This window comes from Homo sapiens, chromosome 22 (assembly GCF_000001405.40).
Source record: "Homo sapiens chromosome 22, GRCh38.p14 Primary Assembly".
In the NCBI taxonomy this organism is placed as follows: domain Eukaryota; kingdom Metazoa; phylum Chordata; class Mammalia; order Primates; family Hominidae; genus Homo; species Homo sapiens.
In genome coordinates this window covers 29,277,198-29,296,008 of record NC_000022.11, presented here as the reverse complement: position 1 = coordinate 29,296,008, position 18,811 = coordinate 29,277,198, and the positions used below count along the sequence as shown (strand labels likewise).

Sequence of the window (18,811 nt, the reverse complement as noted above, 5' to 3'; positions counted from 1 at the left end):
ACTCCTGCCTTAGCCATCTTCTGATGCTGGTTTGCCTGCCCTGGCATTTTCTATGCCCAGACAGGTATCCACTGAGCACAGCCACCTCGTAGGGGTAGTCAGACTTTGATACCACCACATAAGACATGACTGGCATAAAGAAAATTATCCTTAAACCGTGAAGGACAGTGTACAGGCTGTGAGTGAACTACAGGGATTCTTGGTTAGTCTAACACAGCCACTACTTCCTCCAGTTAGAACAGATGACTAGTCTTTCAGCTGAATATCAGATGTGGTTGACTTGAATTCAGGAGCTACCTTGTATAAGAATATCTTCACGTGTACTTTTTTGCATTATATATGCACACGATCAGTTTAGTCTGTAATTGTTTACATATATCCAGTAACACAAGAGCAATCTATTTATAGGACTTAAAAAAGATTACAACAGGATATATATATTGATACCTCTGACTTAAAAAAAGGAACGTGATACCTAAAAACTGAAAAGAAAATATGGCAAAACTGTGGTATGAATAATGTGGAAATGCATTTTTTTCTTTTTTGTGAGACAGAGTCTCACTCTGTTGTCCAGGCTGGTCTCAAACTCCTGGGCTCAAGCAATCCTTGGGATCCTCCTGCCTTGGCCTCCCAAAGTGCTGGGATTACACATGTGAGCCACTGTATCCAGCTTGGAAATCTATTTTAACATCTTTATTTCCAAAATTTTGATGGTAAATACTACTTTCTTAACCAGGATAAACTCCACATTCCTCAATAAACTACATGTTATATACATATTAAAAAGCAGTCTTTTTAATATGCTCAAGCCTGTACTCCCAGCTACTCAAGAGGCTTGAGGCTTGAACCCAGGAGGCGGAGGTTGCAGTGAGCTGAAATTGTGCCACTGCACTCCAGTCTGGGCAACAGAGCAAGACTCCATCTCAAAACAAAAAAGCAAACAAGGAGTCTTGCACAGGGTAGAATGTGACAGTAGACACTAAAAGCATTTTACTTTTGAGGTGTGTGTGATATCTGTGCACACACACACCTACAAGCAGGGAGAAATCACCTTATATAAGATTTACCAAAATCAACTGTATTTCCTTTTTTTTTTTGAGATGGAGTCTTGCTCTGTCGCCAGGCTGGAGTGCAGTGGCGCCATCTCAGCTCACTGCAACCTCTGCATCCTGGGATCAACTGATTCTCCTGCCTCAGACTCCCAAGTAGCTCAACTACAGGCGCGTGTCACCACACCCGGCTAATTTCTGTATTTTTAGTAGATACGGGGTTTCACCACGTTGGCCAGGATGGTCTCGATCTCTTGACTTCGTGATCCACCCACCTCGGCCTCCCATAGTGCCGGGATTACAGGCATGAGCCACCACGCCCGCCCAAAATCAACTGTATTTTTTTTTTTTTTTTGAGGCGGAGTCTCACTCAGTCACCCAGGCTGGAATGCAGTGGCGCCATCTCAGCTCACTGCAAGCTCCGCCTCCCAGGTTCATGCCATTCTCCCGCCTCAGCCTCCGAGTAGCTGGGACTACAGGTGCCCGCCACCAAGCCTGGCTAATTTTTTGTATTTATAGTAGAGACGGGGTTTCATCGTGTTAGCCAGGATGGTCTCGATCTCCTGACCTCGTGATCCACCCGCCTCGGCCTCCCAAAGTGCTAGGATTACAGGCGTGAGCTACCGCGCCCGGCCAAATCAACTGTATTTCTATACACCAGTAATAACCAGAAAAGTGTCATTTAACGAAGACCCTTAACCACAGCAACTTGAAAATAAACGAAACCTAGAAGTAAAACTAGTAAAATTTGCAAGACCTTTAAGGAAATCGATAGTCTTTACTGAAGATCTAAATAGGCTGGGTGTGGTGGCTCACACCTGTAATCACAGCACTTTGGGAGGCCTAGGTGGGTGGATCACGTGAGGTCAGAAGTTCAAGACCAGCCTGACCAACCTGGTGAAATCCCATCTCTACTTACAAAAATTAGCCAGGGGTGCTGGCAGGCGCCTGTAATTCCAGCTACTCGGGAGGCTGAGGCAAGGAGACCCGGGAGGCAGAGGTTACAGTAAACCAAGACTGCGCCACTGCAATCCAGCCGGGTGAAGGAGTGAGACTCTGTCTCAAAGTAAAATAAAATAACAAATAGAGACAGGCCAGGCACAGTGGCTCATGTCTGCAATCACAAAACTTTGGGAGTTGAGGCGGCAGATCACCTGAGGTCAGGAGTTCAAGACCAGCCTGACCAACATGGTTTCACCAAACCCCATCTCTACTAAAAATACAAAAATTAGCTGGGTGTGGTGGCGGGCACCTGTAATCCTAGCTACTCAGGAGGCTGAGGCAGGACAATCGCTTGAACCCAGGAGCCAGAGGCTGCAGTGAGCCGAGATCGTGCCACTGCACTCCAGCCTGGTGACACAGCAAGACTGTCTCAGTAAATAAATAAGCAAATAAATATACAAATAAATGGAGAAATAAAATCTTCATGGGGAAAAAAAGATCACTCAGTATCATAAAAATGTAAATTCTCCTGAAATTACTTCATAGATTTAGTAAATATTCAATTGGGGTTTTAAGGTTTTGAGGTTTATGGGGTTCATAAACTAACTCTAATACAGAAGAGCAAGAACTGAAAAACAGTCAAAATCCCTGAAGAAAAAATCTGCGTTACTAGCTATGAAGAATTAGCATAAAGACACAATAATTTGAGGTTGGGTGTAGTGGCTCATGCTTGTAATCCCAGCAATTTGGGAGGCTGAGGTAGGTGGCCACTTGAGGTGGCCAGGAGTTAGAGACCAGCCCGGCCAACAGGCAAAAATCCATCTCCACTAAAAATATAAAAATTAGTTGGGTGTGGTGGCATGTGCCTATAAGTCCAGCTACCTCAAGAGGCTGTGGTGGGAGAATCACTTGAACCTGGGAGGCTGAGATTGAGCAACACTCTGTCCCTAGGGGTGGAGGAGGGAAGGCCGGGCGTAGGGGATCACACCTGTAATCCCAGCACTTTGGGAGGCGCCAAGGTGGGCAGATCACCTGAGGTCAGGAGTTTGAGACCCGCCTGCCCAACACGGTGAAACCCCATCTTTACTAAAAAGACACAATTAGCTGGTGGCGCACACCTGTAATCCCAGCTACTTGGGAGGCTGAGGCAGGAGATTCGCTTGAACAGAGGTTGCAGTGAGCCAAGACTTGCGCCATTGCACTCCAGCCTGGGCACCAAGAAGGAAACTCCGTCTCAAAAAAAAAAAAAAAAAAAGGCTAATCTTTTTTAAAAAGGAACAAACCATAAGATACCTAGAAAGAAGTCAGGCAAAGGCAACCTTAGAAAACAACTCTCAACATCAATTCAATCTCTTTAAAATGCTCTGTGGTTTAAAGTTCTGCCAGATGACCTGGTTATGCTTTTACTGACCTTAACAACCCCACACTGCTTAAAGAAGTCTGCCAGATCATCTAGAGTCACACTGTCATTTAATCCTTGTACATAAATTGCACTGTTGTCAGAGTCTTCATCTGGATCTACAGGTGGGCCTTTCAGAGACAACAAGACAGGAGAATTATTATCATGTATCTATAGGGGTTTCTTAACTACCTGATCACTACTGCCCAAGGATATTCATCATAAATCTAAGAAAACTACCAAGCATACTAAGAAGAATGCTATCAAACTTTTGGTTTACTTCACTTAAGGCAATTATGAGTAGATGCTCACATAGGATTTCCCAAACTGTCCTTGACAGCAAGAATATCACACTGGTCTATAAGGCTGCTGAACTCTACGCATGCATTTACCTCTGTACCATTAATTTACAAAGCACGATATGAAGCACAACTAGAATTCAAAATTACCTAGATCAAGATCTGGTCCTTCATCCATGGGTCCTGCCAACCAGGAAAGATCATATAAAATATTATTAGTGCACGTCTTGCAAGCTACAAACCTTACAAACACACATAGCTATCTACTATACCACCATTTGATGGGGATTCATTAAACTCAAAATGACCCGCACTGCTAAAATGGAGCAGTGTCTCTTTAACATTTGTGAAAGGTTTGCTAGGGTTTGCTTTTTTCCTTTGCTGGTTTGCTTCTAAACCATTAACCAAATACACTCTCAATGCTTATGTGCCAAATCAGTGTTAAATTTAAGTCAAAATTTTTCCTCTAAATAAACCAAATTTAAAAATTTATTCTCCCCCATATTACAGAAGCAGTTACTCAATACTTCAAGTTACCCTTTGTTTTGTAACCATAGGTTAACCTTATTAACCCCTAAGACAATGCCGGCAGTACCCATTAGTCTCTTTTGTATAGATCATTTTTAAACCACTTATGAAACTAATAAAAAAATTATAGTTTTCTAAAAACTGACTGCATTTTTTTTTAAACACTATCTATGGTAATACTCAAAAACTTACCACCAGGCTTATTGAAGCCACCTCGCTCTCCAGCGCTGCTGGGGGGATAAACGAAGAAATGAAGGCCTTTCCCTTTAAAAGCCAGTACCGCTCTGAGCCTTGGGGGGGCTCGTGGGGAAGAAGGGCACTGGCTAAACACATCTCCAAACAATGCATCTCTCTCATCTTGTCACTATGCCTTTCTTCAGGGCAGCTTGCTCAAATTTCCTCAATATACAACCTTGCTTGTCTGATTGTACACACCAGTGTGGTTGGTTCCTTTCATTTCGGGGGCTGGTATTAATAGTGCAATACTTGGCAAATTAGCAAGAAAAAATAGATCCCAAACACCCACCCCGTCAGGTGAAAAACCAGAAGAGCTTGGTATAGAGGGGAGGAGCAAGTGGGGGTTAACTGCTGTGATAAACCTTTCCATGTTCATAAAGGTGCACCCTCAACCTCTCCCAAGGGAGAGCCAAATGAGGCCCAGGGTTTCCTAACAAGTCACAGTATAATAAAAGCAGGAGACAACCACATTAAATTCCTACAACACACATCAGAGGACGCATCCAGCCAATCTTCAGCATAAAGCCATACATCTCAGGGCACGAATAGATTTAACAATCGCTGTGAAAGGAGAATTTACAACAAATACCAAGGCTCAACGGACTGGGGGTGCAACTTTATAGACATATCAGTTAGAATAATGACTATGGCCATGTAAAATTACTTAAAGAGGGGAGAGGGAAATATGAATTGGACTTTTTGGGTTAGATTTTGTTTTCTTTAAAATTAAATAAAGGCAGCTCCCCAGTGGGAGGCCCTGAGTTTTTTCTAACCAGTATTGCACCTTTAATACCTGAATATACAATTTCAAGCTGTTGCATGCAGCTTTGTTTCCTTTTTAAAAGTACACACCATAAAATGTTCTCTCTCTTTAAACACAAAAGTTTACACTTTAATGTTACACAATTCTAGAGTATTATACCTCCTCTGGTTCATTACCAAACAACAAGTATGCAGTTACCAAAGTTACAGAAGGATTCCATTTATACAATGAATACATTTTGTTAAAAATATTCTATGTATATTTTTCCTCTCCATATGGACACCGTGTCTAGTCCCACTTTTCATTATGCTGCCGGCTGAGTACTGAGTACGGGTACTTTTTAAGTATTGAAGTGTATACAAGGCTCTCACTTTGTAACCTGTAGCATATAAATGCGACAAAGCATGTTAAAAAGTTTCCACGTTTAACAGCCAATGAAAATATCAAAATACTGAGGCAATGAAAAAGGGCATGTTAACAACATTGAGTGCCTTACCTGTACAAGACACTGAAAACCATCACCACACCACAATAAAAAGGGGGGCAACGAGGGAAATGCCCGTCTATCCCCACAGGATCCGACAGACTGCTTCACAGTCTGTTGAAAAACCTATGGGGAAAGCCATGGTCTCTTCTATGGCTGCAAGAGAGACTTCTCATCCAGAAAGAGGGGCCCCCTCTACTAGCAAAGTCTAGCACAATTAGTAGGATTATAACTTCTGGAGTATTTAAATAAACTTGAAATTGTATTTGCAATTTAAAAATACTAGGAATTCTAGGTGATTTGAGACGTGATGATAGTACTTTCAAGTGTCTATGTCTATTTTAAAACATCCAAAAAGAAGTGAAACCTTTATAATAGAGTATTTTCCAAATCAGAAGATTGATTTTACTTCATACCGAATCATTAAATTTTTGCCTGTTGTCAAATGACTTTCTTCCAATAAAGATTTCACTAAAGACTTTCTTAAAGTTATGCAGAATATGCAAAATAGTACTGTCTTTCAGTAGTGAAGAGTATTTGCTAATATGGAAGTTAAAAATCAACTTTAATTTTGAAGTTCATTCTGTTTTTTAAAAAATGCTATTTAATTTTTCCTTGAATAGTGGCACACCGTATCAAATGTAAATATCTAACATTCTGCATAACTTTTTTTTTTCTTTACCAGTTTATATAGGGACAGAACACACACAGAACTAAGCCTTCTGGATTATGTTAACCACCAATATTATAGCTCACCTTCATCAAAGTACAGACACCAGATAGGGAAAAGGGGATGGGAGAAGGGAGGGGAAGGGCAGGCAGAGGCAGCAGGGTTATGTCATTGATCTAAACAAAGTTTTCTAAACCAGATTGTGCCATCAATCAAAATGGTCAAACCGATTTAGACTTTCAACATCTCCAGTAGGAAGTGAGCCCATAATTATATACATTACTCTGCAAAATGCTATTGGATTTTTCTTTGCTCCATCCAAACTCTATGTAATCAGGTGCACCTCAGGCTATAGTTTAAGGATTATGGGACCAAAATCTTCATATGTTCAACGATTCTGAGTACAAACAGAAGTTGGGGACAAACACTGTGGAAAACAGCTGCATTCCTTTTCTGCAGTATATACACCAGGTATTTCAAGACAACCATTCAAAGGCAGTTAGTTAACAACTTAGGGTCATTAGAAGGGTTGTGTGTGTTCCATCCCAAATCTACTACCCACAGAGGCTTCTCACCTCTGGAAACCATGAAGGGAACTGAAAGCTCTGGTTTCAAAACCATTCTTTGTTCTCCCCGACCCAACGAAGTATACTGGCAGGGAAAGAAAATAAACTGCCACTTAATATATGCCACAAAGATGACATTTCCATGTTTTAGAAGATGGCTTGAGCTCAACAGATTGTCCATGGAAATGCAGAAATTAATTTCTTATGTCTTTCAGTCCCTTCTTTCCACTGAAAATCCTATGGATGAAACAAAATTAGGTAAAAGGAGAAAAGGTTTGCTCTTACCCCATTCCACCGCGTCCTCCTCCCCGCCCACCTCTGCTCATGCCTCCACGATCAAATCCCCCTCTTCCCCTGCCCCGGTTATCAGGGCCACTCATGCTCCGGTTCTCTCCTGGTCCGGAAAATCCTCCAGACTCCTGCCCATAAACACCCATGCTACTGGGGTGGTCCTGTCGGAATGAACCTGAGGAAAGAGTCACATCTGTAAGCCATGGACCAGCATTTACACCACTGCCTGATGTACTTTCTCCTGGAATCACAAAATCCTCAATTCCAAGGCACTAACCAAGGCACCATCTTCTTTACATCACGATAAAGCATCCTTAATAGGTAGGCTCTTTTAAGTTCAACAAAACTGCTGGATCATCACAGCTGAAATAACCTTATATAGTTAGCCTATAATAAACCTCTTCTAAATAACAACAACAAAAAAAGCCCTCTGGCTAACATATAGTTTATAGGGTTCTATATCCTAAGATGTCTCCAAAAGCAGCTTCTTTTGAGCTAAACTCAAGAAATGAAAACAGAGCCAGGTTTCTTAGGGCTTTAGCACACTGCTAGGGGCTGAGCTCCATAAATCAACACTACTCCTTTGAGTTGTTGAGAAATCCCCGTGGATAGAATGTAATTTAAAAAGAGCAATGATCCTAAATTCTGAAGATAATTATGTGTTTTGGTTACCTCTCTCCATACAGAAGAACTGCAAATATTCTGTGAGGAGGATTATTTTTCCCCCTTTCCTTTTCTATTTTCTTAAAGAATCTTTATTTATCTTTAAAAAGACAGGGTCTCACTATGTTGCCCAGGGTGGTCTCAAACTCCTGGTCTCAAGTGATCCTCCTGCCTTGGCCTCCCCCAAAGTGCTGGGATTACAGGTGTGAGCCACCATGCCTGGCCATTTTTCCCCTTAATGGATATAAACAAACAGCAACAAAAAAACATAGCTTTTACTTGACTATCAAAATCATAGTGGCCTGCAATAGCTGCCTCCCCACTTTACATTAATGACTGATAGGGAGGCCAAAAACGATGTTGAATTTACTCACTGCATACAACTTCCCCAAAGACAGCAGGGCTAGCAGTCTAAAACATTTTTTCTGATCAATTAGTATCTCTTTTCTTTTTTGCCAAGGCATACTAAAAACAAATTGGAAAAAAGCACTGAAATCTTCACTGGGGCATCCAAGATGTTAGCTGGAATGCCATGCCCTAAAGATGTGTCCTGGATTCCAAAAGCAAACAATGGCAAAGAGTATTCCCCCTGTTCAAAAACTCCAAACGTGGCTGGGCGCAGTGGCTCATGACTGTAATCCCAACACTCTGGGTGGCTGAGGCGGGAGGATCACCTGAGGTCAGGAGTTCGAGACCAGCCTGACCAACATGGTGAAACCCCGTCTCTACGAAAAATACAAAAAATAGCTGGGCATAGTGGCAGGCGCCTATCATCTCAGCTACTCGGGAGGCTGGGGCAGGAGAATTGCTTGAACCAGGAGGCGGAGGCTGCAGTGAGCTGAGATGGCACCACTGTACTCCAGCCTCAGCCCCAAGAGTGAAACTCCATCTCAAAAGAAAAACAAACCAACAAAAAAAATCAACCCCACAAAAAAACTCTAAACACATTCATTCTTATTTGGTTTTCTCTCTTAGCAACTCACTCTGCTGCCCGTAGCTGCTGCTCTGTTGGCTATATTGACTTGGAGCTTGGCTGTAGGATCCAGTTTGGGGTGGGTAACTAGTGGGAGGCTGCTGCCCATAGCTGCTTTGTTGACCATAGCTACTCTGCTGTCCATAGCTGCTCGGTTGCCCATAGGTGTTCTGCTGAGAGTAACTGCTCTGATCATAACTAGTCGGCTGTGTAGAGGAATAGCTGAAAGAGAGAGAAGAGAAAAAAAAAAAAGCTTTTTTAGAAAGAGGCTTGTTATTTCAAATCCCCTGAATAAAAGAGACATTCACACCATGTGACACAGACATCCATAAAACAGTAGTTACTTTCTACACATCAACAATTTGAATTTCAACTCAGCAAATACTTTTGTGTTCAGAATAAAACATTAAATGGGAGGGTAAAACAAAAAAATTTTTTTTTTTTTTTTTTTTTTTTTTGAGACAGAGTGTTGCTCTGTTGCCTAGGCTGGAATGCAGTGGCGTGATCTCCGGTCACTGCAAGCTCTGCCTCCCGGGTTCATGCCATTCTCCTGCCGCAGCCTCCCGAGTAGCTGGGACTACAGGTGCCCACCACCACGCCTGGCTAGTTTTTTTGTTTTTAGTAGAGACAGGGTTTCATCTTGTTAGCCAGGATGGTCTCCATCTCCTGACCTCATGATCCGCCCACCTCGGCCTCCCAAAGTGCTGGGATTACAGGCATGAGCCACGGTGCCCAGCTGGGAGGGGGAAATATTATAACCACCATCTGTATAATCCTTAAAGAGTTTTCTCTTAATCGCCACTCCCATTTAAAACAATGGTCATTTTCAGCTGGGAGCGGAGGCTCATGCCTGTAATCCCAGCACTTTGGAAGGCTGAGGCTGGGGGAATGGCATGAACCCGGGAGGTGGAGTTTGCAGTGAGCTGAGATCCGCTACTGTACTCCAGCCTTGGCGACTCGGGAACAGAGTGAAGATTCCGTCTCCAAAAAAAAACCCAAAAAATCAGGCCGGGTGCGGTGGCTCACGCTTGTAATCTCAGCACTTTGGGAGGCCGAGGCAGGCACATCATGAGGTCAAGAGATCGAGACCATCCTGGCTAACATGGTGAAACCCCCATCTCTACTAAAAAATACAAAAAATTAGCCAGGCCTGGTGGTGGGCGCCTGTAGTCCCAGCTACTGGGGAGGCTGAGGCAGGAGAATGGCATGAACCCAGGAGGCGGAGCTTGCAGTGAGCCGAGATAGTGCCACTGCACTCCAGCCTGGGCGACAGAGCGAGACTCCGTCTCAAAAGAACAAAACAAAACGTCATTTTCAACTATATTCAAGGCAGGCAAATATGGGAGTTTAGATGCTTCCTGTATTGTGGCAAGAATATGCACTTGGGGAAGGCTGACCCAGTGAAATGGGGACTGAGAAAATATAGAGAGAGTGAAGTGAGGCATTCAGTTCCAAGCCTGCCCGCCAATAATCTCGAGTTAACGATTTTCTGAAGGGATAAGGGTACTCAACACAAAAATAGTAGTTTTCCCTCAAAGATTTGTCTTTGCTACTTTCAATCTTTCAGACATGCCTGATTAACTATGAAATCTGAGTATTAATAGAGGAAACTTCAGAATGAAGGAATTGTATGAAAGACAAATATTAAGATTATGTCAATTACATGGGAGAAATTAATAGATACATTCTTGCACAGAAATGAAGCTTGAAAAGAACTGGTATTGGCCAGGTTTGAAGGCTCATGCCTGTAATCCCAGCACTTTGGGAGGCCAAGGCAGGTGGATCACCTGAGGTCAGGAGTTTGAGACCAGCCTGACCAACATAGTGAAACCCCACCTACTAAAAATACAAAAATTAGCTGGGTATGGTGGCACACGCCTATAGTCCCAGCTACTCGAGAGGCTGCGGCAAGAGAACTGTTTAAACCTGGAAGGCAGAGGCTGCAGTGAGCCAAGACAGCGCCACTGCACTCCAACCTGGGCAACAGAGCAAAACTCCATCTCAAAAAAAAAAAAAAAAAAACAAGGGCCAGAAGCAGTGGCTCACACCTGTAATCCCAGCACTTTGGGAGGCAGAGACGGGTGGATCACCTGAGGTCAGGGGTTCGAGACTAGCCTGACCAACATGGAAAAACACCGTCTCTACTAAAAATACAAAATTAGCTGTGTGTGGTGGCACATGCCTATAATGCCAGCTACTTGGGAGGCTGACGTAGGAGAATCACTTTAACCTGGGAGGCGAGGGTTGCGGTGAGCCAAGATCGCACCATTGCACTCCAGCCTAGGTAACAGGAGTGAAACTCCGTCTCAAAAAAACAAAACAAAACACACACAAAAACAAAAAAACCCATCTGGTATTAAGCTTTACAAATCATGATGAGAAACAGTAAGGACACATATTTTAAAGTCCGATTAAACTAGGCCAGGAAGTTCGAGGCTACAGGGGGCTACGACTGTGTCACTGTACCCCAGCCTGGACAACAGAGTGAGACCCGGTCTCCAAAAATAAACAAACAAACAAAGCTTCTAACACACCACATCCCTCACCATTGCTGTATGAATTCAATAATCTCTCACTGTGTACCTATCCAACTTGCCAGATTAACTGCTATTAACTGCTCTCAATGCAATAGGTACGAACCTGCTCTGTGGAAGAAGGGTTGTAAGCCCTACCCACTTTTGCTCCAAGCTGGCTGTATGGAGAGACACCCAATCAATTCTACTTGTTCCTAAACCTGTTCACATCTGCTGCAAAACAATGAAATGAGTGCAAAAAAGGGAACCGCTACTTCTAGCAAAACTTTCAGGGCACAATTCAAACAATTTGAAAACCCACATCTAATTAAACATGGGTTAAGAAAACTTGCAGGCTGGGCATGGTGGCTCACACCTGTAATCCCATAATCCCAGCACTTTGGGAGGCCAAGGTGGGCGGATCACTTGAGGCCAGGAGTTCAAGACCAGCCTGGCCAACATTGTGAAACCCTGTATCTACTAAAAATACAAAAACTGGGCCAGGCGCAGTGGCTCATGCCTGTATTCCCAGCACTTTGGGAGGCCGAGGCAGGCGGATCACCTGAGGATGGGAGTTCAAGACCAGCCTGACCAACATGGAGAAACCCCGTCTCTACTAAAAATACAAAATTAGCCGGTTGTGGTGGCGTCTGTATCTAATCCCAGCTACTAGGGAGGCTGAGGCAGGAGAATCGCTTGAACCCAGGAGGCAGAGGTTGCGGTGAGCCAAGATCACGCCATTGCACTCCAGCCTGGGCAACAAGAGCAAAACTCCATCTCAAAACAAACAAACAAACTGGCTGGGCGCAGGGGCTCGCGCCTGTCACCCCAGCACTTTGGGAGGTGGAGGCGGGTGGATCACCTGAGGTCAGGAATTCCAGACAAGCCTGGCCCACATGGTGAAACCCTGTCTCTACTAAAAATACAAAAAAAAAAATTTTTGCCAGGTGTGGTAGTGAGCACTTGTAATCCCAGCTACTCAGGAGGCTGAAGCAGGAGAATCACTTGAACCCAGGAGGTGGAAACTGCAGTAAGCCGAGATTGTGCCATTGCACTCCAGCCTGGGCAACAAGAGCGAAACTCCATCTCAAAACAACAATAAAACAAAAAGAAAAGTTAGTCAGGTGTGGTGGCATGCACTTGCAGTCCCAGCTACTCGGGAGGCTGAGGCATGAGAATCCCTAGGAGGCAGAGGTTGCAGTGAGCGGAGATCGTGCCACTGCACTCCAGCCTGTGCAACAGAGTGAGACTCTGTCTCAAAAAAGAAAACTTGGCCAGGCGATAATAATAAAAATAAAATAAAAAGAGTTGGCCCATACATTAAAAGGTTAGTGCATGAATAAACCTTTATGTGTTAGGTAAAATGTAAAATGATTAAGGTGAATTATAATGCCCTGCGCTTTACTTATCCTAACTGCATTGGGGAAGATGGCTCTTACATCTATTTACATGCTTTCATATACTTCTGCTTCCCATCTGAGTTAACTAAAACAGCAAAAGGAAGAAACTTAAAGAAAGAACTTAGAGTGGTAAAAATGTTTTTGTATTTAGAAAGAATAGTTATTAGCTGGGCCGGGTGCGGTGGCTCACGCCTGTAATCCCAGCACTGTGGGAGGCCGAGATGGGTGGATCACGAGGTCAGGAGATTGAGACCATCCTGGCCAACACAGTGAAACCCTGTCTCTACTAAAAATACAAAAAATTAGCTGGGCGTGGTGGCGGGCACCCGTAGTCCCAGCTACTCGGGAGGTTGAGGCAGGAGAATGGCGTGAACCCAGGAGGTGGAGCTTGCAGTGAGCCGAGATCGCGCCACTGCACTCCAGCCTGGGCGACAGAGAGAGACTCCGTCTCGGGGGAAAAAAAAAAAAAAAGAAAAAAGAATAGTTATTAGCTGCCAGGCAACACTATGGGACCCTAGATCTCAGGCTTTAATGTAACCAAGTATGGTCAGATGACTTATCACTGCGACAGTCAGATAACATACCTTAGCTGAAGAAGTCAAAGCAAGCTGGTCAACAACCTGAAAAAAACTGTTTTGTCACTGTTTTTGTTTTGCCACAAAAAGTAGACTGACCTGGTAGGAGGGTAGGATGGAGGTGCAGTGACTGGCTGCATGGGGTAGCTCCCAGGTACCTGGGGATAACTGTAGTTACTCTGTCCATATCCTAGGCTGGGCTGGTTGTAACCCCCTGTGCTAGATTGAGGTTGACTAGTCTCAGTGGGCTTGTTTCCATCCTGCGGTCTAAGAGGAGAAATAATAAATAAAATTAAAAAGTGACTTTTTTTGTGTGGTTGGTCAACCACAAAACTCCTGGGTAAGAATGCTACAAAGCTACGAGCAATAAGCAATGTTATGATTAAGCCTGGAAATAAATACAATAATAAATACAATCCTAAAGTAAACTACATCAAACTCAGTGTCGGTCCAACTATATTTGCTTGAAGACAACACTAAGGAAGGGGGAGAATCAATCATATCCACAGAAGAGACATTAATATGCTCCATTCATCACAGTAAACGCTATAAAAGTGCGTTGCGATATTGTGTGCTACCAGTTTAGGTGATCCGGGAGAAGTGATCTGTTAGGGAATAAATGCTTTTTCTCAAAGGGGACTGCTGAAGACCAGAAACTAACAATAATGTTAAGTTTTAGGTTGAAGTAACATTTACGTAAGTCCATGGCATCATAAATTTAGAGAATTTGTGGGTTTATGTTTCTCATTTATTAAAAACAGACCAGGTCAAGGCCAGGCGAGAATGGCTCATGCCTATAATCCCAGCACTTTGGGAGGCCGAGGAGGGCGGATCACGAGGTCAGCAGATTGAGACCATCCTGGCTAAGACAGTGAAACCCTGTCTCTACTAAAAATACAAAAAAAAAAATTAGCCAGGCATGGTGGTGGGCGCCTGTAGTCCCAGCTACTCAGGAAGCTGAGGCAGGAGAATGGCGTGAACCCAGGAGGCGGAGCTGGCAGTGAGCCGAGATCGCGCCACTGCACTCCAGCCTGGGCGACAGAGCAAGACTCCGTCTCAAAAACAAACAAACAAAAAAAATCCCAGCACTTTGGGAGGCTGAGGCAGGAGGATGGTTTGAGCCCAGGAGTTTCAGACCAGCCTGGTAATATAGGGAGACCCCACCTCTACAGAAATAGAAAAATATTAGCCAGGTATGGTGGTACATGCCTGTGGTCTCAGCTACTTGGAAGACTGAGGTGGGAGGGACTGCTGGGGCATGGGAGGTGAAGGCTGCAGTGAGCTGTTAGATCGCGTACTCCATCCTGGGCAACAGAGAGACTCCATCTCAAAAAAAACAAACTGCCAGGTGCGGTGGCTCATGCCTATAATCCCAGCACTTTGGGAGGCCAAGGCAGGTGGATTGCATGATGTCAGGAGTTGGACACCAGCCTGGCCAACATGGAGAAACCCCGTCTCTACTAGAAATACAAAAAATTGGCTGGTAGCGGTGGTTCACACCTATAATCCCAGAACTTTGGGAGGCTGAGACAGGAGGATCACGAGGTCAGGAGATCGAGACTATCCTGGCAAACACAGTGAAACCCTGTCTCTACTAAAAATACAAAAAATTAGCCAGGCATCATGGTGGGTGCCTGTAGTCCCAGCTACTTGGGAGGCTGAGGTAGGAGAATGGCATGAACCTGGGAGGCGGAGCTTGCAGTGAGCTGAGATGGCGCCACTGCACTCCAGCCTGGGCGACGGAGCAAGACTCTGTCAAAAAAAAAAAAAAAAAAAAAAAAAAAAAAAAAAAAACAACACACACACACACACAAAATTAGCTGGGCAGAGTGGCGGGCACCTGTAATCCCAGCTACTCAGGAGGCTGAGGCAGGAGAATCACTTGAACCCCGGAGGCGGAGGCTCCAGCGAGCCGAGATTGTGCCATCGCACTCTAGCCTGGACAACAAGAGCAAAACTCCATCTTAAAAAAAAAAAAAAAACCAACCAAACCATCCAACCAACCAGAAAAAAATCATTTCCTAAACTGGGCTGCCATAAACTAATCTAACTTGGCTCAAAGTCTCCGTAATGGAAACACCAGAGTAAGGCAAAGAGACCCCTCCCAAGTCCCTGCTCAGATGAACCTGGAAGTAAGTATCCCTGTTAAATGACGAAAATTAATCTCAGTTCCAAGGAAAACTCCAGGGGTTTCTATTACCTCTTGGCCCTAACACTTTACATCAAGGCTGCAGCAGACTGAGTTAGAGCTATTAATATTTTAAGCAAAGTCCAAAGAATCAACAGGCAGGCCGGGTGCGGTGGCTCACACCTGTAATCCCAGCACTTTGGGAGGCCAAGGCAGGCGGATCACTTGAGGTCACGAGTTCGAGACCAGCCTGGCCAACATAGTGAAACCTTGCCTCTACTAAAAATACAAAAATTAGCCGGGCATGGTGGTACATGCCCGTAGTCCCAGCTACTCGGGAAGCTAAGCCAGGAGAATTGCTTGAACCTGGGTGGTGGGTGCACTCGCCACTGCACTCCAGCCTGGACAACAGAGCAACACTCCATCTCAAAAACCAACCAACCAACCAACCAACCCAGAAAAACCAGAGAGGGTGTGAAGTACTAACTTTTCCTGAGCTGAAATAGGTCCCATACCCTTTTCCAGTCGAAAAAGCAGTTGCCACTGATTATGAGACAGACAGCTGTTTTAAAGTGGTAACAAGTGAAAAGAAAAAAAAAGGATGACTTATCAAAACCCAATTCATATATAAAACCCTCCAGATATGGCTTGGATATACTGTTGCATCAGAGTATCAAATGGGACTTCATACATCTGATGACACTCGGAAATGAGGCCTTTCAGGAATAAGCCACTAAGTTTAACTTAGCTACTGCAAAGGTGGTCTACCAAGGGTAAATTGCCAAGCGGCTCCGATTACTCACTGTGCATTTTAAAAGTAATTTCACGAGTGTTTGTCAGAGCTAATTTCTTACCTCTAGAGCAGATATATCTAGGTTAGAAGTTGATTTCCTAAAATGTCTTCTTTCAAACCAGAATTCAATGTCCTTTCAAGACTGTATACACAAGCCAGTTAAGTGACTGCCTAAAGCAAAGATCTAAAATCTTTTGTTAAGTAATAATTATACTGTTTACCTGCTAACCAGTCATGGGGTATGAGCTCTGCTCATCCTATAGCAGGGTACCCAGTTAAGAATTTTTATTTGCCTATAATATTTAGATTAAGCCTCTATACAATGTAGGGAAGTCATGTCAATTGCTTAAGCCGAGACAGTAATGTTTGATTTCTTGAATATGGTTATGTCCTTTCCAGACAATTAGGTCATACGACCATTTCTTGACTCACATGATGCTCCCTTCCCCTCCTGCCTGTGTGAACTACCATGTTTTTGCCAAAGAGAAAGCGGTTACCCATTTACAGGGTCAATGAAATCAAAGATAAAAGCATCAAAAGTACAATTCAAAAGTACAATTCTATCAGTTATGCTGTTTTGAGTGAAAACACACACACACACACTCTCTCTCTCTCTTCTTCTGGGTTTAAAAACAATAGCCTTCTCCTACCCTAAAAGGTCATTCTGAAACCAGAGAACCTATTCAGTGCCATTCCTCATTTTGACCCTTCGATAGCACCATTTCACTTTTTTTTTTTTTTGAGGTGAAGTCTTCCTCTGTCGCCCAGGCTAGAGTACAATGGTGCCATCTTAGCTCACTGTAACCTCCATCTCCCAGGTTCAAGTAATTCTCCTGCCTCAGCCTCCCCAGTAGCTGGGATTACAGGTGTGCGCCACCACGCCCAGCTAATTTTTCTATTTTTTTTTTTTTGAGACCGAGTCTTGCTATGTCTCCCAGGCTGGAGTGCAGTGGAGCGATCTCAGCTCACTGCAAGCTCCGCCTCTCGGGTTCATGACATTCTCCTGCCTCAGCCTCCCGAGTAGCTGGGACGACAGGCACCCACCACCATGCCCGGCTAATTTTTTGTATTTTTCAGCAGAGCCGGGGTTTCACCGTGTTAGCCAGGATGGTCTCGATCTCCTGACCTTGTGATCCCCCTGCCTCGGCCTCCCAAAGTGCTGGGATTACAGGCGTGAGCCACTGCGCCCCCCCGGTATTTTTGCATTTTTAGTAGAGACGGGGTTTCACCCATGTTGGCCAGGCTGGTTTCAAACTCCTGACCTTATATGATCCGCCCGCCTCGGCCTCCCAAAGAGCTAGAATTACAGGCATGAGAAACCGCGCCCAGCCAATTTCACTGTTAAATGCAGAATATTTCTGTGGTATGTTCTAGCACATCAGTTACTAACAGTGAACATCTGAGAGTATATGAAAGCAACCACTAATAAGGAACTAAACCACAGATTATTTTAAGTGTACACAGTTGCTTTCTTTCCCTCCAACATAAGACTGACGCATTAAGGACACCATGGCCTTACCTTGTAGGTGCAGTGGCTGCTGGCTGCTGCCCATAGGCTGGATAAGCAGGCTGAGTGCCATATGCAGACTGAGCTGCATAGGAGGCCTGGGTGGTGGTGACTGTAGCAGTGGTGGTATCATAAGCACCAGTGCCATACCCCTGGACAGGCTGGCTGTATGCCTGGGGGGCAGTTGGAGTAGTATAACCTAGAACAAAGGAGAGCTGCATCAGATTTCAGGTCCCCTCAGAGATCTGCCTAGACACTCATTATCAGAACAATTTGTAAACCACTTACTTTAAACCATCAGGATATTGAATCCCTTTAAATATTCCCCCTTCCGCAAGAGTAGCAACAAACTGGTATTTAAAGCCTAAGTTCTCTGAATGTACCTAGTTTTTGGTAAAGTAACTGTCTCATTTGCTCTAAAACCACACCTAACAGAAATGGCATGTCATGCTACAGAAAACAGGGTTCCTTCTGCCCCCTCTTGAATGCTGTGAATAGGAGACAAGTCTGTTTTTGCCAAGTCTGTACTGATTTTGCTAGCAGGTCGTCTTAACAAGTTTGTAAACAAACTTACCCCAAAATACCCTCAAGCAGGAATAAAACATCCCAGAAGAAAAGGTAAAAGGCAAATGACATAGCATTTTAAAATAATTAGAAAATGATCCAGGTACTAGTTCTAGCACTAAAACCTGTAATTTGGGTAGTAATTAATTTAATCACTTTCTTTTGGTCCCAAGCACTAACATCATGTGAAGCACAAGCTTAATTACTTGAGCACATGATTAATAAAAATAAGCTATAAATTATAGTTGCTTAACACAGTTTATCCTTTTTTTGTAAATTATTTAAAATTAAACTTCGATATTGCTCCAAACAAACATTTAAAAGGTAATGTTTTCACATCATAAAGCAGATTCCTGCCTCGTTATCAAGTTACTCAGCTCCATTCCTCTTACTTACCTACCACAAGCAAAAGGCCTTTTTCCTGCTCAGCAATATTGGAGGTAAACCCTAGAGTCTCTCCTCCCCTT

General features: G+C 43.9%; 1 protein-coding gene across 52 annotated transcripts in view; it reads right to left on the bottom strand.

Moving 5' to 3' along the window:
• Positions 1 to 18,811, bottom strand: part of EWSR1 (EWS RNA binding protein 1) — a 32,254-nt gene that overhangs the window by 4,513 nt on the left and 8,930 nt on the right. For 15 of the 52 annotated variants that reach the window (NM_001438500.1, NM_001438536.1, NM_001438532.1 and 12 more), the window contains exons 5-11: positions 17,793 to 17,979; positions 13,452 to 13,619; positions 8,875 to 9,086; positions 7,223 to 7,403; positions 4,410 to 4,447; positions 3,840 to 3,872; positions 3,403 to 3,521 (exon numbers count right to left, since the gene is read on the bottom strand). In NM_001438500.1, coding sequence (NP_001425429.1) covers positions 3,403 to 3,521; positions 3,840 to 3,872; positions 4,410 to 4,447; positions 7,223 to 7,403; positions 8,875 to 9,086; positions 13,452 to 13,619; positions 17,793 to 17,979 — 938 coding nt within the window. Of the gene's footprint in view, positions 1 to 3,402; positions 3,522 to 3,839; positions 3,873 to 4,409; positions 4,448 to 5,324; positions 5,597 to 7,218; positions 7,404 to 8,874; positions 9,087 to 13,451; positions 13,620 to 17,792; positions 17,980 to 18,811 lie in introns of those variants that run through there. The other 37 variants (NM_001438530.1, XM_017028646.3, NM_001438535.1 and 34 more) reach the window with 7 other exon arrangements.